Consider the following 25258-nt stretch of genomic DNA (forward strand, 5'->3'; position numbering starts at 1 on the left):
ATCCATAAAAAGAATGAAATCCTGTTATTTGCAACAACATGGATATAACTAAAAGACACTGTGTTAAGTGAAATAAGCTAGACACGGAAAGATAAATATTGCATGCTCTCACTAATATGTAAGAGCTAAAAAACAATTGAACTCATGGAGATGGAGAGCAGAATGATGGTACCAGAGGGGTACCATGAGAAGGGGAGCCGGGAGGTTGGGGTAAAGAGTAGATGGTTAATGGGTACAAAAATACAGTTAGATTTTAAAAGGAGTAAGATTTAGTGTTCTGTAGCACAGTAAGGTGACTATAGTTAATAATTTCTTATGTATTTCAAAATAACTAAAAGAGTGAAATTGGAATGTTCCTAACACAAAGAAATAAGTGTTGAGGTGACAGATACTTCAATTACCCTGATTTGATCATTATGCATTATATGCTTGTATCAAAATATCTCATGTACACCATAAATATGTGTAAATATGATATATCGAAAATAATTAAACACTTAAAAAAATTTAAAGAAATCATTGAAACACCAGAAAAATGGCTCAATAACAGATGGACAATGTGAAATTGAATGAAACTCTGGCTCCACAAAGTTTGCATAAAACTTAAAGTTTCCCTCAAATACTTATTTGAAATCAGTAGCAAACTTGAAAGTGCATCAGAATCATTGGAAGAGCTTGTTAAATAGATTGCTGAGCCCCACCTCCAGGCTTCTCATCCAGTAGGTTTGAGTTGGGGCCTGAGAATTTGCATTTCTAACAAGTTCATAGGTGTTGTTGATGCTGCTGGTCTGGGAATCTTTGAGAACTATATGTTACAGAAGTTATCCCATTTGATTCTTTTGTTTTTCCCTGATATGTCCTTTCCCTGATGTGTAGTCTGTACATCACTGAATTTCAGTCATATTATTCCTAGTACCTACATACTTGTCTGGATAATTATATATTTGTGAGCAGGGAAAACCAGATTGGGGAGGGTGGTGGATTGGGGTAAGAAGCTGGGATTTGTTCATCTGCTGGCCATCAGGGGGAGTGCTGGTCAAGTTTTCTGCTAGAATCCTCTTAGAAGTTGTTAGCTCTTTCTAGGACTCTACATTATTCTTCTCTAATAGGTCCTCACCATCCACTAAATAAATGCGGTAAAAAAGCTTCTATCTTGAAAAAGAAACCACCTCTGGCCCCACATGATTTTGTTCTTTTTTTTCTCCTTTATAGCAAAATAGCTAGAAATATTTGACTTCCTGTCTTCACTTCCGGACTTCCCTTCCCATCTCTACCTTCTCTTGCACTGGGTCACCACCACCTCCATGTCGCCAACTCTATGGCTCATTCCTGGTTATCATCTTACTTGCCCTCCCAGCAGCGTTTGATATGAGTGATTTCCACCCTCATATGTTTCTCTTCTTTGCTTGCTCTCCTCCCCTTCTAACTTCTTGTTTGCTGCATCCATCTCCTTCAGTGCTCCGAAATACCCTAGTTTCTGATATGGAATATCTACTGTTCTCCATGTATATGAACTTCCAGGTGATCTCATCTGGCTTTAAATATCATTGCCATACCACACCATGAATACAATTTGATGATGGCTTCCCCACCCCACCTACTCTCTACTCTTGGCCTAATCTGCCTGATGTGTTATTTACAATCTGATGTACCTAGCATCTCTGCAAAATGCACCTTAATTCTTGTCTAAACTTCTACAGTCTCTCTGACAACTCTTGTATTCCTTCCTCCTGACTTCTCTTTAAAACTCAATAATGAAATATCTTTTTACTTGTATCTTTTCATTTCTTTCCTTCACAAGTGACCCTGTGACTGAATACTTTATTTTTATCTTTTTTTTTTTTTTTAGATGGATGGAGTCTAAACTCACTCTGTCACCCAGGCTGGAGTGCAGTGGCGCTATCTCTGCTCACTGCAACCTCTGCCTCCCAAGTTCAAGGGATTCTCCTGCCTCAGCCTCCCAAGTGGCTAGGATTACAGAAATGCACCACCACGGCCGGCTAATTTTTGTCTTTTTAGCAGAGGTGGGGTTTCACCATGTTGGCCAGGCTGGTCTCAAACTCCTGACCTCAAGTGATCCACCCGCCTCAGACTCCCAAATTGCTGGGATCACAGGCGTGAGCCACTGTGCCCAGCCTGTGACGGAATACTTTAATTTATCCACATGCCTAAGCACATTTTCTATAATTACTCCCAGTTCTTCTCATTGCTTATTCTCTAAATCTCTTTGAGATAAACCATATATAACAAAGAACATAATTTTGTATGGAGTGAAGATAATTTTTAAATATGAAGCAAACAGCAATAAGAGAATCTCTTTAGCAATAAAAAGAATTTCTATGTGTATATACATATGCATTTGTATGTATATATAAATATATGTGTGTGTATATATACATTTGAAAGCCAGAATAGTCAATGCAGTCTTCACTTTGAAAGATTTTTATCCTAAAATTTGAGAGTCCAGGTTTGATGCTTTAAAACTCAATTCGATATGCCTCTTTTAAAAGATTCATCTTTTTACATAAAACTGGGATTATGTATATGTGCATGAAAAATGAATGAACATCAAAGTCTATTCAAAATGTTCAAAGTAAGAGCTTTTTCAGATTACACTCATAGAAGTTTCTAGGCTTTATAGTTCCATTGAGGCTCTAGATAAATTATCTTAATTGAATCTAAGTTTGTAGCATTGATCCACACACACTGGCCTGCAGTGACACTAGTGAAATTTTCTATGTGAAATCAGTCAAGAAATATTTGCCAAATATCCTTTGGTCAGTGTGCAACTGCAGCGATTAAGGGACCCATTTGTTTTTCTTCCTTATTGTAGATGCCATGGCCAATCCCTGGTCTCTGAGAAATGAGGCAGGTCATAAGGCAAAGTGGGCACCAGGTCTATGTCCTGGTGGATTTCAGGAACTGACCAGGTGAAGGCAATGGGATGAAGGAGAAAGGACACAGGGATTTGAGACAGAGATGGTCCATCTCTCTCACTTACTAGCTGGGTTATCTCAAAGATTTTATTTAACTCCCTTGAACTTCACCTGTAAAATAGGAAAATTAAGATTTCATAAGTTGTATAAAAATGGAATGTGAAATTATATAACAGCACTTTGTAAAGGGCTATATCCACATTCATATCTGCATCAAGCCATACATTCGTTCGCCTACCTTTCTAGAGTCACCTAATTTCCACCCACTTCTGTAATAGAGAGTGCACTCTTAAGTTTCATATGTGAAGTTCATATATTGTAAGTGTAAAAATATTCAAGTAATAGCTACTCTAAACTTTTCTTAAGGTGACATGTTTTCCTAGCATGTCATCTTTGTCCTGATTTCTTTATTTACTTCATTTCTGGCCAAAATCACATAAAAGCTAACAATTTTTCCTTATGCCATAGATTAGGAAACAAAGCCAAATTCATCCAGTGGTGTTTTTCTGGTTGGAATTTCCTACAAATGAATACTCTCTATTTTGCTATGATATTCCTAATGCATGCAAATTATGCAAGCCAATGGAGACAGTGAGTAAGATATTGAGAACTAGATTGGCACAAAAACACTTCCAGATTTCACTGGCATATGAGGTTACGTCTGCATCAATACGCACATTTTTTAATACAGCACAGGATTCACCTAATACACACAGGCACTTGTGAAATTTCCCTTCCTCAAGTATTTTAGAGTATTTACAGAGTGACAGTCTCTCTCATGTACTTAGAAACCATTTCAATCATGCTGCTGATCTCTCTGCTTGTGACCCATGGGATTGGAAGCAAGGTAGAAGAGAAAGAGGCTCTCTGGAGCTCTTGTTCTCAGTTCATATCACCCTGCTCTCTTTCTTTGCCTTCTGTCTCTCCCTTACCCCAAACAGGAAACGGTGATGCACATCAGTTCAGACCAAAGAGTCTATTGCTCAAATAAATGAAAAAATACAATGCCTTTAGAACTGGAAAACAAAAACAAACAAACAAAAAAAAACCCCACTAGAGTGAGAGGTAGTAAGACAAGGAAGGAGAACCACTAGGTGCATTGTTGAGCTGGATCCCTGGGACTCAATCCCACTGGGGCCTTTGAAAAAGGCATGTGGAAGCACCTTAGAATTGTCCCTCTGAAGGACAGGAGGCAGAGACGTTTATCCTCTGACTCTTGTCCTTCACTGGTTGAAGGTTGTCCAACCAGTTGGCTGTGTGCTCAAGCTCAGCAACCTCCTGTAGCTTTGGAGAAAGCCCTGAGGAAGAAAAGGGGAGTGACTCCAGTGCAAATGCTAGCAGACGGAGCTCAGAACCATCTACCATGGCTGCCACTGAAACCAGAGGTGGGCTGAAATGGGATATAGGTGCAAAATGCATCTGTTGCAACTAGTGTCAGTGAAATTCAGCCCATTCATTATGCCTGTAACTTCCATGCAATGATAATAAATATAAGATCACTATCAGAATGAGAGATATTAATAGTCCCTACAGCACCAAACACTTGTTCTACCTCAAGTGCTGGATACAAGGAAAGGCAGTATAGGATGATATGTAGATCATGAAATTCTGGGCTAGACAGATTTGAGTCAAAGTCCCTGTTCCACCATTATTAATTGTATGCTCTTACCAGTTATTCATTTACTGAAGCCTCAATTTTTGCATCTGTAAAATAGTAATATTAATGGCTTCTTCATGGAATTCTGATGTGAAGTATATGAGATAACCAGTATAAGTCCCTAGTTCAATGCCAAGCACAGTGCCTGGCACAGAACAGCCAGCCAATAAACATTAGTTCCTTTCTTCTACTTTATGAAGCAGAACTATTTTCCCTCAAATACTTATTCAGATGAAACAGTGCTAATGTCATCCAGAGAATTATAGGTTGAAAGTTGTATTATTCTGTTCTCACACTGCTATAAAAAAAAAATACCTGAGACCAGGTAATTTATAAAGAAAAGAGGTTTAATTGGCTCACAGTTCTGCAGGCTGTGCAGGAAGCATGGCAGCATCTGCTTCCGGGGAGGCCTCAGGGAGCTTTTTACTTATGGCGGAAGGCAAAGGGAGATCAGGCATCTTACATGGCAGGAGCAGGACCGAGGAGGGGGAAGGTGCCACACACTTTTGAGCAACCAGGTCTCAGGAGAACTCACTATCACAAGAATAGCACCATCTGCCGGTGCCAAACCAGGGGTCCCCAACCCCTGGGCCATGAAGTGGTCCCGGTCTGTGGCCTGTTAAGAACTGGGCCACATAGCAGGTGGTGAGTGGCGGGCAAGCAAGCATTACTGCTGGAGCTCCGCCTTCTGTCACATCAGTGGTGGAATTAGATTCCCATAGGAGCGCAAACCCTATTGTGAACTGCACATTTGAGGGATCTAGGTTGCATGCTCCTTATGAGAATCTAATGCCTGACTAGAAACTTTTTAGTTTATCCTGTTAACCACAACTTCCCAGGATATCCTCAACTGTACCCAAGTTTGAAACGTACAAAACTGCCCTACATTGATCCAAAGAAGTTTATTGACATAGTAAAGTTTGCTCAGCAATTCCCAGCAGCCAGCTTTGGAGTCTCAAAATTTCAGACAGTCAGGCTCCATAACATTGGTAGGAATAAACTGAATAATAAAATTTAAAAACCCATTCCTGAGCTTTTGAACCAACATCTCCAGTGACAGGTAGGGCTCGGGGTTCTGAATTTTGTATGATATTATTCTGAATCACAGCCAGGATTGAAAATTTTGATTCAACAAACTACTTAAGAAGCTCAAAAATCAGTAAGATTAAAAATAATTTTAAAATTCAAACATTTTAGCCACGTGTGGTAGTTCACACCTGTAACCCCAGCGCTTTGGGAGGCCCAGGTGGGTGGATCACCTGAGGTCGAGAGTTGGAGACCAGCCTGATCAACATGGAGAAACCCCACCTCTACTAAAAATACAAAATTAGCTGGGTGTGGTGGCACATGCCTATAGTCCCAGCTAGTCCGGAGGCTGAGGCAGGAGAATAGCTTGAACCCAGGAGGTGGAGGTTGCAGTGAGCTGAGATTGTGCCACTGCACTCCAGCCTGGGCAACAAGAGCGAAACTCTCTCAAAAAAAAAAAAAACAAAAAAACAAAAAACCTCAAACATTTTAGTTTGAACTTTGCTTGGATTTCTTTCCTTCATGCTCTAATTTATTTCCTTTATGCCCCCTGCCTCTGTATTTTCCCACTGGAATCTAAGAACTGGAAGAAAACATGACAGATTTTATGTACTACCTTAACTTTATAGCATTTCCCATGTACATTTATTTTATCACTGAATTTTCTATATGATCCTGTGGGGTTACAGACAGAAGCTGAGACTCAGAGGAATCAGATAATTGATCAGCTTCCACATTTAGTGGCAGAGCCAGGAACTCAAACACAGATATTTTTTCAGTGATTTTTAAATTACATTTTTACTGAATCACATGAGTTTCACCTAGTTTTGAAGTTTTAAAGGTTTTTTTCTCCTCCTAGTCAACATTCAGAAAGACCTTGTCAATTTTTTTGGCACAAAACAGAAGCCTCCGGGGCAGAATTCTGACCCAGAGACAAGATAACATGATTCTAATACATTTATTCATAAAAATATAAACTAGACTTATATCAAATGTGTTAAAAAAATCATTCTGCCAACACATTTAATTTAGGTGGAAAATATTTGCTTTGCTGACTGGCTGATTAATCAAATCAAATAATTACAACATTAAAATAATTTGTCAGAAAAGGGTGGCAGCCCTCAAACAAAAATAATCTACTGCTTCTCATTAAATAACACATTAATATAACTCATTTTACTGAATGAGCTGAAATTTTCTGTTTATGTTAATTTATATTTCTCTGAGCCCTTAGTTTAGCAAGAATTTGTAATCATTTTCTTATAAACCTTGTATATTACTGATCTGCTAAGCCTGTGACTCCCAAATGAGGTTAAGTTTCCTTTGTATATGCAAACCATCTTGGCACAAACCCTCATTGACTTTCCGGCAGGGATTAGCCTCTTTCAGTTCATCTCTTCACCCACTGATTTCCAGAAGTTTCCCAGGTCATTGCCTTAAAATTCCTCATTTTTCCTATGCTCTGATTTCTCTTCTTGCTGTCAGGCCATCTTTTCTGGGGCAGATGACCCCTGTGTCATCATCTCACTTCTTGGCCATTGTCTTCCCCTGATACTACCAAAAATAGTTTCAATTCCCTCAATTCCCACACACAACTGAGACTAAACCATACTGTTAAAAAGAACTTACTGAAAGCTCAGAGACTAGAGAAACTTAACAGACGGCTGCTGGAAGTCTCTAAGAGACCATGAGTGTCCCTGCTGTTTCCTGGCAGGCCTCTGTGTGGTAGAGCTGTCAACTCCCTTCTCACCGAAAAGAAGAGTTAGGTATTTCTTCACCCAAGAGTCTAGGCCTGCCTGACTGCCTCCTCTGCCAAAGATAAGGGGAGCTCCTTTATTCCTAAGGCTCATCTTATTTCCTGTTCTAGGCTGATTGACATTGGGAATATCCATTCTCTTCCAGGGAAAATATTAACTCAAAAATAAGGTGTAATCTCATCCCATGTCTAACACAAAGGGTCATGGCCCATATTGTGGCTCATCCAACCTTAAATGAGAAGGGACACCAACAGCCGAATGTAGGTAGTGCTGTGACAACCCAGTTCACTCTTTTTCACAGTATTTTCCATAGCATGAATGAAAAAGAAGATAAGAACTGTCTATCCCATCTCCTAGACCTCTTGAGGGAAAATACTTGAACAAAACTCATTCACATTTTCCAAGAACATAGAGTGTATTTCAGGCACAGGGCAATTTCTGAGTCTACATGGGCCCATTTTCACTATTAACTCAACTTCATTACTACACAGAATGCTGAATGCCAGTCTGAAGCATCTCCTTTTAGGTTAATTCTCAAGAACAATGGGTAGATACTTCCTCATGTCTGCATAACTAGAACAGCTTAACAATGAGCGTTTTCTGCAAGAATCAATTCCAATATCTGCCCTAGAATATTTAAATAGCCTGTACTCTCCACAAGGGCAATTTCCCATCTTTACAGCTTAAAAGATAAGCTATAACCTTTATTTTAGGTAGATAGATCATACTTTAAATTCTGCTACTTTATATGATTTATCAAATTTATTTAATTCCTATTTAAATTGAGATGGGAACCCTTTATGCTATTAAGAAAAAAATCAACATAAGGCCACATGAGTCAGTCTTTTAAAGAGAAATATCAATTATTTTTTCCATAGGTTAAGAAAGGAGAATATATAACTTTATCAGGTATATGAAAAATAGACTCCAGATCTATTATTGTAATCCAAAAAAGAAAGGACTATGAGAAACAAAGTGAAAGTTAAGAGAGAAAGATAGTGATATTAATACAGATTTAGGCACAAGAGAGAAAAAACTTACATACCCATGCATACACATATGCCTACACATTAAAACACATCCCACATCTAAGACTCTCACATGAGTGAAATGTAGCAGAGAAGATGGCACATTGAAACCAGGAAATACACACCAAGATCACGGGTAATAGTGACCTTATCTTCTGGTACACGCCCACTAGACTCAAAAAATCAGGTTTCGGTTTTTGTTTTTCACTGTAGGCACAAATACATACAGCAAGCTATTTAAAGGTAAATCATAATTGATATGATTCTAGACCCCTAAACCAGTACTCATCCTAATTCTAAAAATGTCTTTAAAACCAAAATTGTATTTTTAAGTCCATATTTTAATGTCTTTATCTGCCTCAGTGAAAATTGGTAAGATTTTACAATCTCCTACAAGGTTTGAAATTAGTCTTTTCTCCAGAGAGATAATCCACTTATTTTAGGAACCTAAATTACGTGTTCTACAGCCACTTTAACATTTTTAGCACAGAACCCTAAGTTGAACATGCTCTAAACTTTGTTTCTCTAAGTAGTTCTGCACTTAAACCACTCGAACAAGATAGGCCTTAGAATCTGACAAATCCAGGTTTAAAATCTGGCTCTGTCATTTCCTAGAAATGGGAATTTAACAAACGTATTTAACCTAAGATTGTGTTGTCTTGGCTCTTGTTTTGTAAATTGAAATGATGTGAAGATTAAATGAGATAATGCATATAAAATAACTAGCTGAGCACTAGCACACTTTTTTTTTTTTTTTTTTTTTTTTTTTTTTTTTTTTTTTTTTTTTGAGACGGAGTCTCACTCTGTCACCCAGGCTGGAGTGCAGTGGTGCGATCTTGGCTCACTGCAAGCTCCGCCTCCCGGGTTCATTAAGCTCAACAAAAGATGTGAAGATCTTTGGACAAGATCTTGTGAGCTTTGCTTGTAAAATCAGAGCACAGATTCTGTATCCAGACAACTGATTTGGAATTTCAGTTTCCCAACTTGCCAGCTTACTGGATCTTGGCAAGTTGTTTAACCTTTCCCATCCCGTGTTGTCATCCACAAAACAAGGATCATAGTGTGCTGGGAAAATTAAATGAGCTATATATGTAAAGTACTTAAAATAGAGAATAGAGCCTAGCACACAAAAGAGCAAGTTTTTGGCTGTTACTGAAGAGTCCTTTGCTTAGTGTTCAAGGAAAGTGTACTTACTAAGGTGGCTGGTATACTACCAGTCATGTAATATATGAAGTGGAAGAAAAAAGACCTTCGTAAAGATGTGTGCTAGGTTGGGCGCGGTGGCTCACACCTGTAATCCCAGCACTTTGGGAGGCCGAGGCAGGCAGATCACGAGGTAGGAGATGGAGACCATCCTGGCTAACACGGTGAAACCCCGTCTCTACTAAAAATACAAAAAATTAGCTGGGCGTGGTGGCGGGCGCCTGTAGACCCAGCTAGTCGGGAGGCTGAGGCAGGAGAATGGCGTGAACCCGCGAGGCGGAGCTGGCAGTGAGCTGAGATCGTGCCACTGCACTCCAGCCTGGGCAACAGAGCGAGACTCTGTCAAAAAAAAAAAAGAAAGAAAAAGAAAAAGAAAACTAGAAAAATCCTTGAATTTACGTTTCAAATAATTTGCTTCAGTTCAATACAAAAGATATTATGTGGCCTCTGCTGGTTTGTGAGAACACATCTAAAGAAATGGAGGTATAAGAAATCTGATATCTCACAGGTCTTATCTTCATCCTTTATGTCTTTGGATAAGTGTAGGAGGTTCTGTTGTGGGATAAAACTATATCAAGCAAAGACGCTTAATAGTCCCTCCCTCCCATGCCTATGATTTTGAGCAAAAATATACATGAAAGTAGCCCAGGAAGTTAAGCACAACAAATGGCCAGAGAGAACTCTCATCTTTATTTTCTTACCTGTTCAAATTTTCATATACCTCATTTATTTATTGAACAAATATTTATTAGTTGCCTATGCTAGCACTGGAGTTGTGAGCATGTGAGGAAAAGTGTCTGCTCTTGAGTTCACATTCCAGTTTCAAGAAATGGACAATAATCTCTGTTGCTGTATTATATGCTGAAGTTTCCATTTTTTTCCATAGTATATTTATCTCTCTACCCCATCTGTCTCCCCAATCTCTCTCATGGTACCAAGAATGCTGATTTTCTTCCTCCTGGTCATGTGAAAGCAGAAATCAAGTTTGAAGAATTCCTGACCTATCAGCCAGATGAAGATTCTTAGATGTTCTTCCCAGAAACCAGATAAGTCTAAGCCTCAAGGGATGGAGAATGAGAGGGCTCAGTGGCTACTCAAATGAAAGAAGGTAGAGAGGAACTTGCAGTGGGAAGAAGGGTAAACCTTTGGTCATGAGACTATGTAGCATGGAAGAAAGATCATAGAGGCCACGTAAGCACTTGTAAAGCCCCCAGAGGATATGGATGTACAACCCTATATTCCTGGCACACAGTAGGTGTGCAACAGTCATTAGCTGTTATAATTATTGTCCTCTTTATGGTTTTTCAGTTTTAATCATGACCAGTCCTTTCAGCACTGGGAGTCCTGTGTCAAAAACCCTTCTCCATGGCTGGATCTAGACTGCCAATTATATGCCTCCTAGGCGTTTCAGTTGTCTCTCCCTGCCTCTCTTGGCCACTACCCTCCTGCTGCTCACTCCTCCAGGCTTCCAGGATAACCTGACAAGCCCTAATCAGTTTCTCTCTCCTCTTGGGTTAGAGAAGGACACACTTCATCTGACTGACCCACTTCTTTGTCCTACTGTCGAGCTCTGATCTCTTATTCTCATATGGATGATTTATGTTCATTTCTATACAAAAGTAGGTAGTCTATCTTTAGGCAGGAGTAAGAAGCCTCCCGCAACTAGATCTATTTATATCAATTCAACTTAAAGTAGGTACAAACCCCACCAGAAGAGTAAGCATTCCTTGATATACAAGTCGGAACTATGTAATTAAAACCCAAAATAAAAACCGGCATTGTAAGCATTGTAGTTACCCTCTGTGGCAACACTTGGGATTCTTTGCTGGATTGTGAAGGGGGAGGACCATACAAAGCTCAGGAAGAAATGGTATAATGCTTTTTTTTTGTTACCTAAGTGGGTTAAGCAGTGGGTCTGACAAGTGCTAACAGGACCCATTGTTAAGAAGTAGGCACATAGAAGTTTCTGGAAAAGTCACTCACAAAAGAAGAATGATAGTGTATTAGTCCATTTTCACACTGCTGATAAAGACGTACCTGAGACTGGGAAGAAAAAGAAGTTTAATAGGACTTACAGTTCCACATGACTGGGGAGGCCGCAGAATCATGGAGAGAGGCAAAAGGTACTTCTTACATGGTGGCAGCAAGAGAAAATGAGGAAGATGCAAAAGCAGAAACCCCTGAAAAAAACATCAGATCTCATGAGACTTATTTGCTACCATGAGAACACTATGGGAAAAACCGCCCCCAAGATTCAAATTACCTCCCATCGAGTCCCTCCCACAACACATGGGAATTATGGGAGCATAATTCAAGATACGATTTGGGTGGGGACACAGCCAAACCATATCAGATAGTGTACATCTGAAATAGATTTTGACAGATCTCAAGAATTGAATTTTCCAATTTTCAATTGTAGGAGAGAGGGCAATTTAACTCTCATAAATTTCACTTTATCTTTAATATGCATCACACTTCACAGAGAAGCTGTAAGGATTGAGTCAGATATAAAAGTGCCAAGAACATTGTTTTGCACTTATTGGATACTCAATTAATAGCAATTCCTGTCCTTTCCTTAGGAGAAGGGGCTCAGATATAGTTAGATGCCACCTAGACAATATCTAGGCCCTGGTTGACATTGTTTACGTGGCTCTGGTGGTTGTTAATTATTAATATACCTTGAAATCAGTTCATTTCATTCTACTTCAACAGCTTGAAGGCTGTTAGAGTCAAAAAAGTTTTTTCTTCAAATTAAAAAAGACAAAATATTCAAACTTGGTAAAATGTTTAATGCGTGAAAAATTGTTTCTGTTTCCCTGAGTCATTAAAGGGACAGTGTATATCTCTTTATTTGTACTGGGAATTCTTCCAAATTGCATTAGCACTCAATCTCAACCATTCAGAAACTAATGTGTGGCCCTGATATATTGTTATCTGAGTCAATCATATAGCACTCTACCATAAGCCCAGCAATTGGCTCATCATTATTTAACTTCCATCATGGTCTTTAGCAGGTAATATGCTATACACAAACAAATTATTGTGGTCTTGACATAAAGTGCAAATTCTTTTTTCTACCAGTTTATAGAAAAATTGAGAGAAATATTTAAAGTGTAAGGGTTCTTTGCATTTAAACTTAATGTATTTTGGGTTTGGAAAGAGTGCTTGTCAGGAAATCATTACTGTGCTGAAGTTTGACTCACACATCTATTTCTGTACTAATCTCCCATCAAGGAACAAAATAGTCTTATCTTTACAGTGCCAATCAATCTAATCCATCAGTCAGGTATCATTTTCCATTTATATCTTTATATGGGATTTTCTGTCACTGCTATATGATAGAACCCCAAATTATTGTCTAGAAGTACATGTCGATATATCACTGCTTTACATCAATGTGCTCATTGATGGAAAATTTGATTTTTAAGAAAAAACTTAAACATAAACATCTGGATAAGTGAAACTGTTTTATTGACATATTAAAGAATATGCATTTTAACACAATTTTTGTGTCTCACTTTCTCAGTTTATACTAAGCTTGAAAGAAACTTTAAGTTAAACAAACAGAAGGCAAGAAATATAAGACAAAAGATATTCCTAGTTCTTCCAAGTTATAAATCACCAAAATGATGATTATTTAAACATCTGAAATCTTGCATGCATAAATGGCTGTGGACCTAAGAACTCTTCTCAGAGCCTATGATTGAGCTTGCCACAGAAGTGGTACACCAGGGTCAAAAATAGCAGTCAAACTGGAGCTTTGTAAACAGTAGCTCTCCCCTCTTGCATGCCAATAAGAAGTAAAAATGCAATATGACAGGAATACTCATTTAAGAGATACCCAGCAGGATGCTCATTGACCCAGAATAATTAAATATGCAGTGTCCTGGATGGACAAAATATAGGATATAACTGAAGAGTACTTTGATGAGCTAATTAAATTATTCTTTCAAAAGTGCAAGGAACCAATTATTCACACAATATCTGAGTGGAGTGGCTTGCCTATATGCTTATTTTACAAAAGAAAATGTAAAACAAATGAACAGTTTGGACAAGCTGGTGGAAGATATCTTGGAGGATTGAGAGAATGTTTTGAATGCCTGAAGTCTTATGCACTGTGTATTCATTGTGAACACTAGTGGTGTTTGTTCACACCTGGGATACCTGCCTCAAGGAGTAAGGTTTATATATGAAACTGTGCATTAATACACAGAATGTAAGCATACAGCCATGGTAAAATAGACAATCCTATTCACAGGGAGGAATAATATCTTTGTGAATATAAGCCAATCATTTTCATTCTTCCTGTAAATTTTTGTCCATCTGAAACTTTTTATGTCTAAAGTTTATGACCTCAGAGAAAAGGACATTGTGGGAGAAGTGAGAGAGAACAGACTTCCTAAATACCTTTATAAACTCCTTTAGCATACCAAGATTCAGGACTCAGCTCATACACTGCCCAGAATGCAAAGAAGCTCTCTCTCACTCTCCTAGGGCATAAAACTTGTTTTTGTCTGATAAAAAGGAAATAATGACTTGGAGAGAGAGAGCAAGTTTGCTTTTTTTCTTTTTTCTGGGAGTTTGAGGGAATTTAGAAAAAGAAGATAAGCTGGGAAGAGATAAGAGAAAATGATGAGTCATGTGTCCTCAGAGTGAGGAAAAGCTAAGGACAGTGGAAACCTCTTGTCCTGGCTTTCCCTGTGGGATTTAAGAGGGAGTTGGTCAAGCAGCAACAAATCGGATCACAGTAAGCCAAGTGGTACAGTATAGTTTGTCAGACAAAAGGAGACTTTGATATTTGGCTTTCCTGATCCACTCAGGGTTTGTGGGTAGCAGGGATGAGACCCAGGTGTTCTTGTAGCTCCAGTATAGAAGCAGTTGGCCACAGGGTTGAGAGTTCTAGGGATGTTATAGAGCCCACCATGGTGAGGATGTAGTAGAATGCAGAGAGCCTATAGCACCAGATAGAACTGAGGTGACGCTGAGTCAACAAGGGAGGGACAAACAGAAATCAGATATTGAGTCATGCTAGTCACAGATGTCAACTGCACATGTAAGCAGGACCAGCCCCTGACAAGGGGGCAGAAGGGATTGTACTGGAGCCCCAAGATGCCAGCAGACACCCACCCCGTGGACCTAAATTCTTTTCCTTCACCACAAGGTTGCATTGCAGCACACCCTCACACTCACCCAAGCACTGCTTGGAGGGGGTGGAAGAAATAAAAACCTACATCGTTTTTTTTTTTCTTGGTGAGTCTGAGCATATCCTAAACTAATGGTTTAAGTAACTTAAACTGACAGGATGATATTAGTCTGCTCAGGCTGCCATAGCAAAATGCCATATACTAGCAGGCTTAAACAACAGAAATTTATTTCTCACAGTTCTGAAGGCTAGGAACTCCAACATTAAGATGCCAGCTGGTTCAGTTCCTGGTGAGGGCTCTCTTTCTTGATTGCAGATGGCTGCCTTCTCACCATGTACTCACATGGTGGAACAGGGAAGCTCTGTTCTCTCTGCACCAGCCCTGTCAGATTTGGGCCCCACACTTATGAGCTCATTTAACATTTTTCACTTCCTCATAACCCCTAACTCCAAATACAGTCACATGGGGAATTAAAGTTGAACAAATACATTTTGTAGGGACACAATTCAGCTTATAGCAAGTGTTAAATGTTTGTTTTCTTCCTTCCACCCAGTGGACTGAAATTTTGTTTCAGGGAAACAAAATGGATTATAGACAAAGCCACATCTTCGTTGAAAGAAAAGTAATATCTGAGTATATAAAGAGTTATGATTGTGCGCTGTTTCTTTGTGATTGTACACAAACACAAATATAATAATGAAGCAACTAGCTATTTCCTTAAAATGGGACAGACCCTGGCTCACTAGTGGCTGTGGACAGCCTCAGACCAACAAACTTGAATCAATGCACTGGGCTTATAGTAGTCCATTTTCTGAATCTTTCCATACCTTCAAAATAGTGGCCATGCCCCTTCTGTGCATTCTGTGCATGTATTATGTATTTTTCAATAGATTTGATTGACTGGACAATTATATCAAATGAGTTGTTAATCTACAGAAGTGTTTTTCCAACCCAAATACTCATGTATTTTCTAGTTCAAGGTTAAAGAAAAAAACTGATAAAACTACATGGGGCAATGTAATAATAAGCAGAAAAAAAATAGATCCTGCTGTTTTAAATGAAATATACATAGCCCACAACCTAATTCCATCTGTGATGTTCCCTTTAAGAAATGCTAGGTTCTCCAAAACACTTCGGCAAAGCTGATCTATAAATAAATCATTGGTCTCTGCAGTGGGGATAAGCAAAACCAAGGGCATTCTCTGCATGGCTTTGTTTCTTCCTCATGACATTGTGGGAAAGAGAAAGGAAATGCTTATGGGTATCATGGAATAAAGAGGAGGAGTCCATAAGGAGTCATAAATCTAAATGATTGTAATTCATCCAGATGGAAAATTTGGAGATTCTATTAAAAATACAATCTCTTCATATTATTTGCTGCATTGGTGAGAAATGGAATTCAAAAGCTCTGCCTTCACAAGCTTAGTAATATTAAAATATTTTTCCCTTCAAATCCATTGCAGGCATCATTGTGTATCTCCCAACAGAAGTCCCCGAGTCCTTGAAGCAGGCTCCATGTTATAGTGGGAAAGGTGCGTTGTAATGAGAACCAAGCAATTTATGTTCAAAGCCATCTTTCTACTATTGATAAGTCACTTTGCTTTGCCTCCTTAATTGTAAAGTGTCCCATCAAACTCAACAGGTTACTCTGAGGCTCTAAAGAAACATAAGCAGTCAGATGCAAATATAGATACTAAATAGTATAACTTGTTTATAATAGGCTTTCAAAAGATTTTTAATGAAAGAAGCATATAAACTGGAATAAAAACTTTTAGGCTTTTTTCTACCTGCATGTCAACAACCTCCAAAAAGGATCATTACCTTCAATACTTCCTGCATTTTTACATCAATACATATAAGTCATTTCAAAGATGTGAAAAAATGTGAGCAGATAAGATTAGCTTGGAAATAAAAAAAGAGAAAAAGGAATTATTCACCAAGAAGCAATGACACCATTAGGATGCCCTCTTGTGCCTAACACTGAGTCTAAAGTACTCTAAGAAGCCTGACTGGAGTTAGTGGTCTTATTTAGTTGGGTTTTATTTGGCTCAGTCAAATTGCCATTTTGGTAGACTTATTGCTCAACAGCTGCTCATCTAATCAAGAAAAAGCCAAAACTCAATGAAGAGTCATTTCCTTGCTTCTTTTCATTCCTGTGCAAGTGACAATTGAATTACATTTTCAAAATATTTCATATGCATGAAAATTTAGAACATGCAATAAAGCCAGCTGCAGAAAACTGAAAGTCAGCTCAAAGCCATATCGAGATGCAAGAGATTTATTTTGCTTAGAATGGTCACCTATGGCAACAGCATCTATTTAATTATGTATCCCTCATTGCTTTTTCTGTAAGTAAATGATGTGATATTCTGAGTAAAGTCACTGAATTTCTCCTAGGATTAGTGTCACCTGCAAATACTGCCACTCTATTAATTTAGACAGGCTCAAAGTAACCTCCTTCCCACACCAGCAGTGGATATACTAGGCTAGGTACCAATAGAATTGTGCTTTCTTCAAGCTAAGTTCTGCCAAAGATCACAGTGGGGAAAGTGCTTCCTTATCTGGAGTCCCTAAGATAGAAGATACGCATATGTCAGCATTGTGCAACTCCAGGGGCGCACCAATCATACGGATACCATGCCATTGATGTAGTGGTCCTATAATTCTGCATTTTTATAGGAAGTGGGGATATAGCTTCCATCAGACTTCTAAAAATGTTCCCAACCCTCAATAGTCAAAGACATTCATTTAGATTTCAAAAAAATTGAATAGAAAGCAGCTTATCTTTATATCTGACTTCTCTTTTTCTTCATTATGCAAAAAGACCAGCCTTGCAAAGTGGCTTTCTTGCATTTAGGTTAAAAGCTTCAATTAATAGTTAATTGCTTATTATTCAATGGCAAATTATCCATGTGCTGTATTTGTCAGTTTCCCTGCCTATTTTATTTCTGGCTGTCTTCACTGACAGGTTATAAGCTTGTCCACCAGAAAGTATACATAAGGTCAATGAGGTAAATGTATTACTTATTAATTCTGCTGAAAAACTGAGAGAAGAAGATATGTTAATATAATCTACTGATTTTCAATAGGAAACTCTTCTATTATTTGACATTTCCAATTCTTCTTGTTATTCACATATCTTTTACCACCGACAATTGGAAGGCAACCTTGCCTAAAAGACAGTTATTTATTACACCATACAAAGCATGTGCTTTTTTTCCTGCTTATTTAGCAGTGTGGTCTTTCAGAAACATTTAGAAAAGAAAACATCTTAGCTATCAAATGTACATAAATGGTTGATTAATTATTTCCCATGAAACTAGGCATTAAAGCAAGTAGGTGTGTGTGTTTTGGGAGAATGGAAGTGGGACATAAGATATCAAGCATTCTGTGTAAAGATCAAATAACCCATACTCATTTTACAGTAACTCCTCTTCCTGACAAGTACTAAGTAGCTTCTTGCCTGCATTTTGATACTAAGAAAACAGAGAACTTGCTCACTCACACTAAATAAATGCAGCCCAAAATTTGCTCACAGTGCCAGTCTCTGCTGCAGCAATTCAAAGGAGAATCTTGCTGTTCGGGCAGAAGAAATTCAATCACCTTGTGGAGATAATGAAAAAGCTTCATACTTTTAATCAGATATTGATCGATTACCATAATATTCTCCCATAGCAATAGCTGCAGGCATAAGAAACGGAAAGAATGGAAGAGATTTTTAGGAGAATACAAAAATAAATAAGTATTTGAGACTTAGATACTGCAAAACAACAGCAATTGCTACTCTAAAAGCTTGGTTTCACTCTTGCAGCCCATAATAAAGTCTGTTCTTATTGATCATTGGGTTGCTGGGAGAGTAGGAACATTTGTAGACAGTTCTCCAGTGTTGTTTGTTAATTATCCTTGTCTACTGGATTTCCTGCCAGCTATCCCCAACAGTTAGTGCTATGAGTGGCTCAAGCAATAAAGTCCTAAAACTACAGGTTCTATATATTCCAGAATATATGTTTCATATAATTGTGTTGCTGTTCTTTAAATGGAATCTATGTTTCTCGTATTGTAGAACATGCAGCACAATGTATATAGACTTGTCATAGCTAATTTTGATAAAGAAAAAAAAAACAGGAATGGTCTTTCTTGTCTCAGTAACACGCATCTTTGCTGGTTAAAGAGGCTTCTCTCTGTGTCTCTGACTAAGGACAAGTGAGCCAGCACAGTTGTCTTCATAATAACAGAACAATTTCATTTTTCAAACATTTATAGAGCTCCCACCCTCTGCATAGCACTGTTTAAGGTGCTAAAAGACATAATACTGCATTACTGTCCTAAAAAAGATTACCCCAAGCCAAAAAAGAAGAAAACATTTTTAAATACGGACATAGAAAAATGAATCCTAAGGGATTAATTTTACAAATACGCTCAAAGCATGAATCTGTTAAGAGATTTTGAATTTGTGTAAAAATAAAGGGTAGCAGGATTAGTGCAAAGGGGAGGATGATTGATAAGCTAGAATCTGTGTCCTTATAGGAAAAAATATTACACTAGTCATAGGGGTATAAGCAAGCAGCTTCTAATTATAACATGCTTAAATTAAAGTCATAAAGTATTGCTACAGCTCAATCCAGAGTATCTCTCTTGACAGCCTGATGTGCCTAAGGATAAAAGTTACGTGCAGGGTTAAAATTTAGTAACATCTAAATGGAATGAAGGATTACATTATGGGCTCACTGGAGAAGGTTTTCCCAAAAGTATATGAATACTACAACTCTGGAATAGCTGGGACTTTATAATAGTGCCAGCATTATTCCCAACTTTGAAGGTCTCCCTCCTTTCATTGCTGAAAGATATTTTTTACTCTATTTCTGGATTACCTTTAGTGCTCTACTGAGAAGACATACATTGTAATAGTTTAAAAAAATAGATGTTAGTCTGGGGATTATTAAACTTTTAGATTCACAGGTTACTCATTCATTCCTATAAATGTTTTAGAATCTGGTTGTCACTGTTAAGATGCTCAACCGGCTCTCCTTGCAGACTATGAAGATGGGGATCAATCCAGTGGTACAAGACTAGCCTGTGTAATGTGGCTTGAGGGCTTTACCCTGTCCTGAATATCTCCTATCTAATGTCACATGCAGGTCACCACCATTAAAGTCAATCTTTCCCTTAAGGAAATCTCATAAACTAGAACATAGATATTTTTATAAGAAGTAAGTCTAGGGCATGACATTGCAAATGGCAGAATAGGGAGCCCCAGACTTTCTTCCCTCAATGGACATAATGATTCAACAATAAGACATGAGGTAATTTCTTTTGTGAGAAACCAGAAAACACTAAAAAGGATCCCGTACCCCAAATAAGAGCAAAAGCAGCCACATCAAAGCCAACGGGAAAATTTGGGGCACTCTCTCACCATTATCCCTCCGCTGCCAAAATATCATACAAATTAGAAGGAAAATCTCAGTTTCTGGATTCTCTCGGGGAGGAGAAAAGAAGATCAGAGTGTTTATTCAGCATTTAGACTTTGTGGGACAGAGGAACATCTCAAGGGACAGGCTTCTGTCTCAACAGTCTTGAAGCACTGACAGGACTCACCATACTCTAGATCTTTGGGGGTTGCTAAGAATAAAAAGGAACTAGGCAAAGTGTTTCTTTTCCAGAAGACCCATACCATAGAAGACAGATGCCAGGGGAACAAGAGATTACAAGCTCCTGAAAGAAAAAAAATGTAAAATCTTACATTAGGAATGTACACTCACAGGTTCAAAAAAGATGTATCCACAGAAAAAGTTGAGATCAGTCTCATATAAGCAGAAAGTAGAATGGTGGTTACTAGGGGTTGGGGAAGGGAAAAATGGAGAATTGCTATTCAATGAGTATAAAGATGCTGGTTACTAGGGATTGAAGAAGGAAAAATAGAGTTGCTATTGAACGACTATAAAGATGATGGTTACTAGGGGTTGGAGAAGGAAAAATTGAGAGTTGCTATTCAATTAGTATAAAGATTCAGTCATGCAAGAGTGAGATGAAAAATCTCAAGATGAGAAAGTTCCAGAAATTTGCTATACAGCATTGTATTCATAGTTAACAATACTGTACTGTACACTGAAAAATTTTGTAAAGAGGTCCAATCTCACGGTCTGATCCCTAGACCTTCTAGGGATGAATGGCAGTGAGGACTGAGCAGGGAATTTGGAGATAAGTAGAGCCAGTCCAGGTCTTGGCTCTGGCACTTTCGAACTGTGTAACAAACTATACAGTTAACTCTACAAACTGTAAAGTTAAATAATTTAACTTATTTAACTCATTTCATTAATGGACATCTTGAACAGAAGATCTCCATTTATGAAATGAGTTAACAACTGTACACAGAGCTTCATGTGAGTTTATATAAGTTAAATACCCGAGTTTTAGAGTTGGAAATAATCTCGGAATCATCTCATGCAATGGCTTTCAAATATTTCTTTGCTTTCTATTCCCTAAAAGTACTTTAAAAAACATTGTACTACTTCATTCATATGAAGTTGTCATCTAACGTTTTTCCAATTGAACTGAAGATTGTTAAATAGTCGCGAAGATATACTTTGTCATAGTTAGAATATTGACATTTAAAAATAAAATATTGAATTGTACTTCTATATATATCCAAAGAAATCTAAATGCTACATCATTTTAATACCTATCATCTTTTTTTTTTTTTTTTTTTTTTTTTGAGGCAGAGTCTCACTCTGTTGCCCAGGCTGGAGGGCAATGGCACAATCTTGGCTCACTGCAACCTCTGCTGCCTGAGTTCAAGTGATTCTCCTGCCTCAGCCTCCTGAGTAGCTGGGATTACAGGCGCCCACCACCATGCCCAGCTAATTTTTGTATTTTTAGTAGAGACAGGGTTTAACCATGTTGGCCAGGCTGGTCTTGAACTCCTGACCTCTGGTGATCCACCCGCCTTTGCCTCCCAAAGTGCTAGGATTACAGGCATGAGCCACTGCCGGCTGCCCCAATTTCTTAATTTGTAAGGTCTAAACCTCCAGAAAGGTTTTTTAAATAGTACAATTAGCCTCTTAAATACACCAACTGTTAAACTTTTGCTGCGCTTGCTTTTTGCTTTCTTCTTATGTGTGCATGTATGCCCAGGCGTGGTGGCGGGCACCTGTAATCCCAGCTACTTGGGAGGCTGAGGCAGGGAGAATTGCTTGAACCCCGGAGGCAGAGGTTGCAGTGAGCTGAGATCATGACACTGCACTCCAGCCTGGGCAACACAGCAAGACTCCATCTCAAAAAAATAAATAAAAATAAGTAAGATAAAATAAAACAAAATAATAAAAGAAATTGGGGCAAAAAATTAAAAATACTTGAGCAAGCTTTTCATTAAGTCAGGAAATTTTCCATATTTTTTCCTTAATTTGTGTTTCTTTTTTGTTTTGCTGCAAAAATTTGTCTTAAAATAGTAGTTTTCTAATTGAAAATGTTTAATTGATCACTTGTCACATTTCCTTCCAAAATGTGTTTGTAAACTGAAATAAATTTTTTCTGTGACCAAAGAAAAAAACCATCTAAATAGTATCATATTTTACCAGACTGAGTTATCACTAAAACTCATTAGGATATAATTGACCAAAACAAAATAAAATTGATCAAAGCAAAATTTTTAGAAATAAATTAAGATAAAGCTTTCCCCCATGCAGCTCATATGGCTATCAATAAATATCATTTATTGCCAGAATAATACACAATTCAGAATCAGCTATTTCTATTTTTGTTTTTATAAATAAGTCAAGAAAGGCTAACATTTGTTAATAGATGTTCAATTTAGTGAATTAAATGCTAGAAATCACAAAATTGCCTGCTCTCCAGAAACAAATTAACCCCATCTTCCTTCAGTTTTAACGAAAACAAAGAATTAGGAGCCATCTGACTTATTTTATTTATTTATTTATTTATTTATTTTGAGACACAGTTTGTCGCCCAGGCTAGAGTGCAGTGGCGCGATCTCAGCTCACCGCAACCTCCCCCTACCAGGTTCCAGAGATTCTCATGTCTCAGCCTCCCAAGTAGGTGGGTTTAAAGGGATGCACCATTACACACAACTAATTTTTGTATTATTAGTAGAGATGGGGGTCTCACCATGTTGGCCAGGCTGGTCTCAAACTCCTGACCTCAAGTGATCTGCCTGCCTTGGCCTCCCAAAGTGTTGGGATTACAGGTGTGAGCCACCACACCCAGCCCCACCTGACTTTAAAAGGATCCTGTTAGTCATTTGAGTCATTCATTTTCTCAATTTCTGGGAAGATTACTAAGAAGACTTTTCGAAGACTTATGAAATGACAAATATATATATATATATATTACAGTCAGCCAAACCCGGACTCTACAAAAAATACAAAAATTGGCCTGGCATAGTGGCAATCCTATAGTCCTAGCTACTTGGAGGGGAAGCTGAGGCAGGAGGATTGTTTGAGCCCAGGAGGTTGAGGCTGCAGTGAGCCATGATGGCATCATTGCACTCCAGCCTGGGTGACAGTAAGACTCTGTCTCAAAGAAAGAAAAAAAATAAGAATATCCTTTCCACACTTCCAATATTTCACTCTTCTCTTCTTGCTTTCATGGTGTCCAAAGAGAAATTCAATGTAATTCTTATTTTTGTTTCTCTGTAGGTAATGTATCCCACACTCCTCTCTACCAGGCTTCTGTCGAGATTTTCTCTTTGTCATTGACCTTCTGCAGTTTGAATATAATAGGCCTAGATGTAGATTTTTTTTTTTTTTGTATTTATCCTGCTTGGTGTTCTTTGAGCATTCTGTATCTGTGGTTTTTGTGTCTGTCATTAATTTTGAAAAATTCTCAGCCATTATTACTTCAAGTAATTTTTCTGTTCCTTTCTTTCTTTTCCTTCTGGTATTCTCATTATCTGTATGTTACAGCTTTTATAATTTTCCCACAGTGCTTGGATATTCTATTCCATCTTTTTTATCCTTTTTCCTCTTTGCATTTCAGCTTGGACATTTACCTTAACATTTCTTCAAACTCCCTGATTCTAGTTTTATGGCAGTATAAATGACAGATAAAAATTATATACATTTAAAGATATACAACATGATTTAATATACATTGTGAAATAATTACCACATCAAGATACTTAGCACATTAATTACCTCACATTTTTACCATTTGTGTGTGTGGTAAGATCTATAGTCTTAGCAAACTCAAAGTAACAATAGAACATTATTAGCTACAATCACCATGCTGTACATTAGAGGCACAGAACTTGTTCGTCTTATGACTTAAAGTTTTTACTCTCTGACTAACATCTTCTCATTCCCTCATCCCTGGCATCACCCTTCTCTGCTTCTGCAAACAAACCGATTCTTTCCCCAGCCATTATCCAGTCTATTGATGAACTCAAAGCATCTTTCATTTCTATCACAGTGTTTTTTATTTCTAACCTTTCCTTTTAAACCTTAGAGATTCTCTCTCTGCTTATTTTACCTATCTGTTCTTGCATGTTGTTCACTCTTTCCATTAGAAACTTTAACACATTAATCATAGCTATATTACATTTCCAGTCTGAAAATTCCAACATCTCTGTAATATCTCAGTAAAGTTTTGATTTTCGCTGTCTCTTCCAACTGTGCTTTTTAAAGGTGTATCTTATAATTTTTTGTTTAAAACCAGACATGATATATCATGGGTAGAAAACTGAAACAGGCCTTTAGTATGAGGTTTTATGTGAATCTGGCTTAGAGTGAGTTATGTTTGTTTGTTGTAACTGTGATGTCAAAGGCTACAATCTCCTCTAGTATTTTTGTTTTTGTCTCCCATCAACTTTGTGTATCTCTGGAGACTCATTAAATTGGGTGTGAGGTTTGCAATTCTTTAGCCGTAATCCCCTGTTACCATACAGGAGCCCTGTTGATATGGTGGTAAGTTGTTGAGGAAGGGATGAGTTCCATGATTAGGTCTTATCTTTCAAGGAGCTTGAGTTGGACATTTCCCTTCCCCTAGGTTGGTTAGGCTTTGGTAAAACATCAGTCTGCTGTACTCTAGTAAAATAGTTTCACTTGACAGAAGGCCTCGTTAAGGAGAATTGGGAGTTCTGGGTATATTTCAAAATAGCTACTGCTCCCCTTTTGGATCTTCACTAAGAGAAACTTGTAGGGCTCCTGGAGACAAAACTCACAAAAATTTGGGGACCCTTTTAAGACTGGTCCTCCTCGGAGTTTTTTTAACTTTCAGCTAATTCACACTGAGCCTCTAGCCATTCGTCAATTACTAAAGTGTACCTACCAATACTGGCTTAAGCTGAGAGCTTCTGCTCCTAGACTTCTGCTCCAAGTAATCTGTAATTCTCTGTATCTACCTGTCTGTCTGTCCAGTTTTAGGGGCAGTAGTTTGCTTTGGACCTCAATTCTCTGATGGATCTAAAAAGAGCAGTTGGTTCTTATTTTGCTCAGGTGTTTTCTTGTAAGAATTTCTAAGCTCTTGGCCAGGCGCCCTGGCTCACGCCTGTAAT

The 25258-nt window shown here is 38.1% G+C and overlaps 1 long non-coding RNA gene across 1 annotated transcript in view, besides 1 other annotated feature; it reads right to left on the bottom strand.

The window, feature by feature from the left end:
* The window catches only part of LOC105375416 (uncharacterized), a 237202-nt gene that overhangs the window by 169861 nt on the left and 42083 nt on the right, over positions 1–25258 (bottom strand). Inside the window, exon 2 of the long non-coding RNA XR_001745293.1 lies at positions 11683–11787. This is a non-coding gene — a long non-coding RNA (uncharacterized LOC105375416). The remainder of the gene's footprint in view (positions 1–11682; positions 11788–25258) is intronic.
* Positions 14508–14557: an enhancer, noted in NCBI's record as "active region_26302". NCBI's record gives its function as "activates an Ori minimal core promoter by ATAC-STARR-seq in GM12878 lymphoblastoid cells {active_cell/tissue: GM12878}" and the evidence as "EXISTENCE:reporter gene assay evidence [ECO:0000049][PMID:35858748]".

Source organism: Homo sapiens, chromosome 7 (genome assembly GCF_000001405.40).
Source record: "Homo sapiens chromosome 7, GRCh38.p14 Primary Assembly".
Classification (NCBI taxonomy): Eukaryota; Metazoa; Chordata; class Mammalia; order Primates; family Hominidae; genus Homo; species Homo sapiens.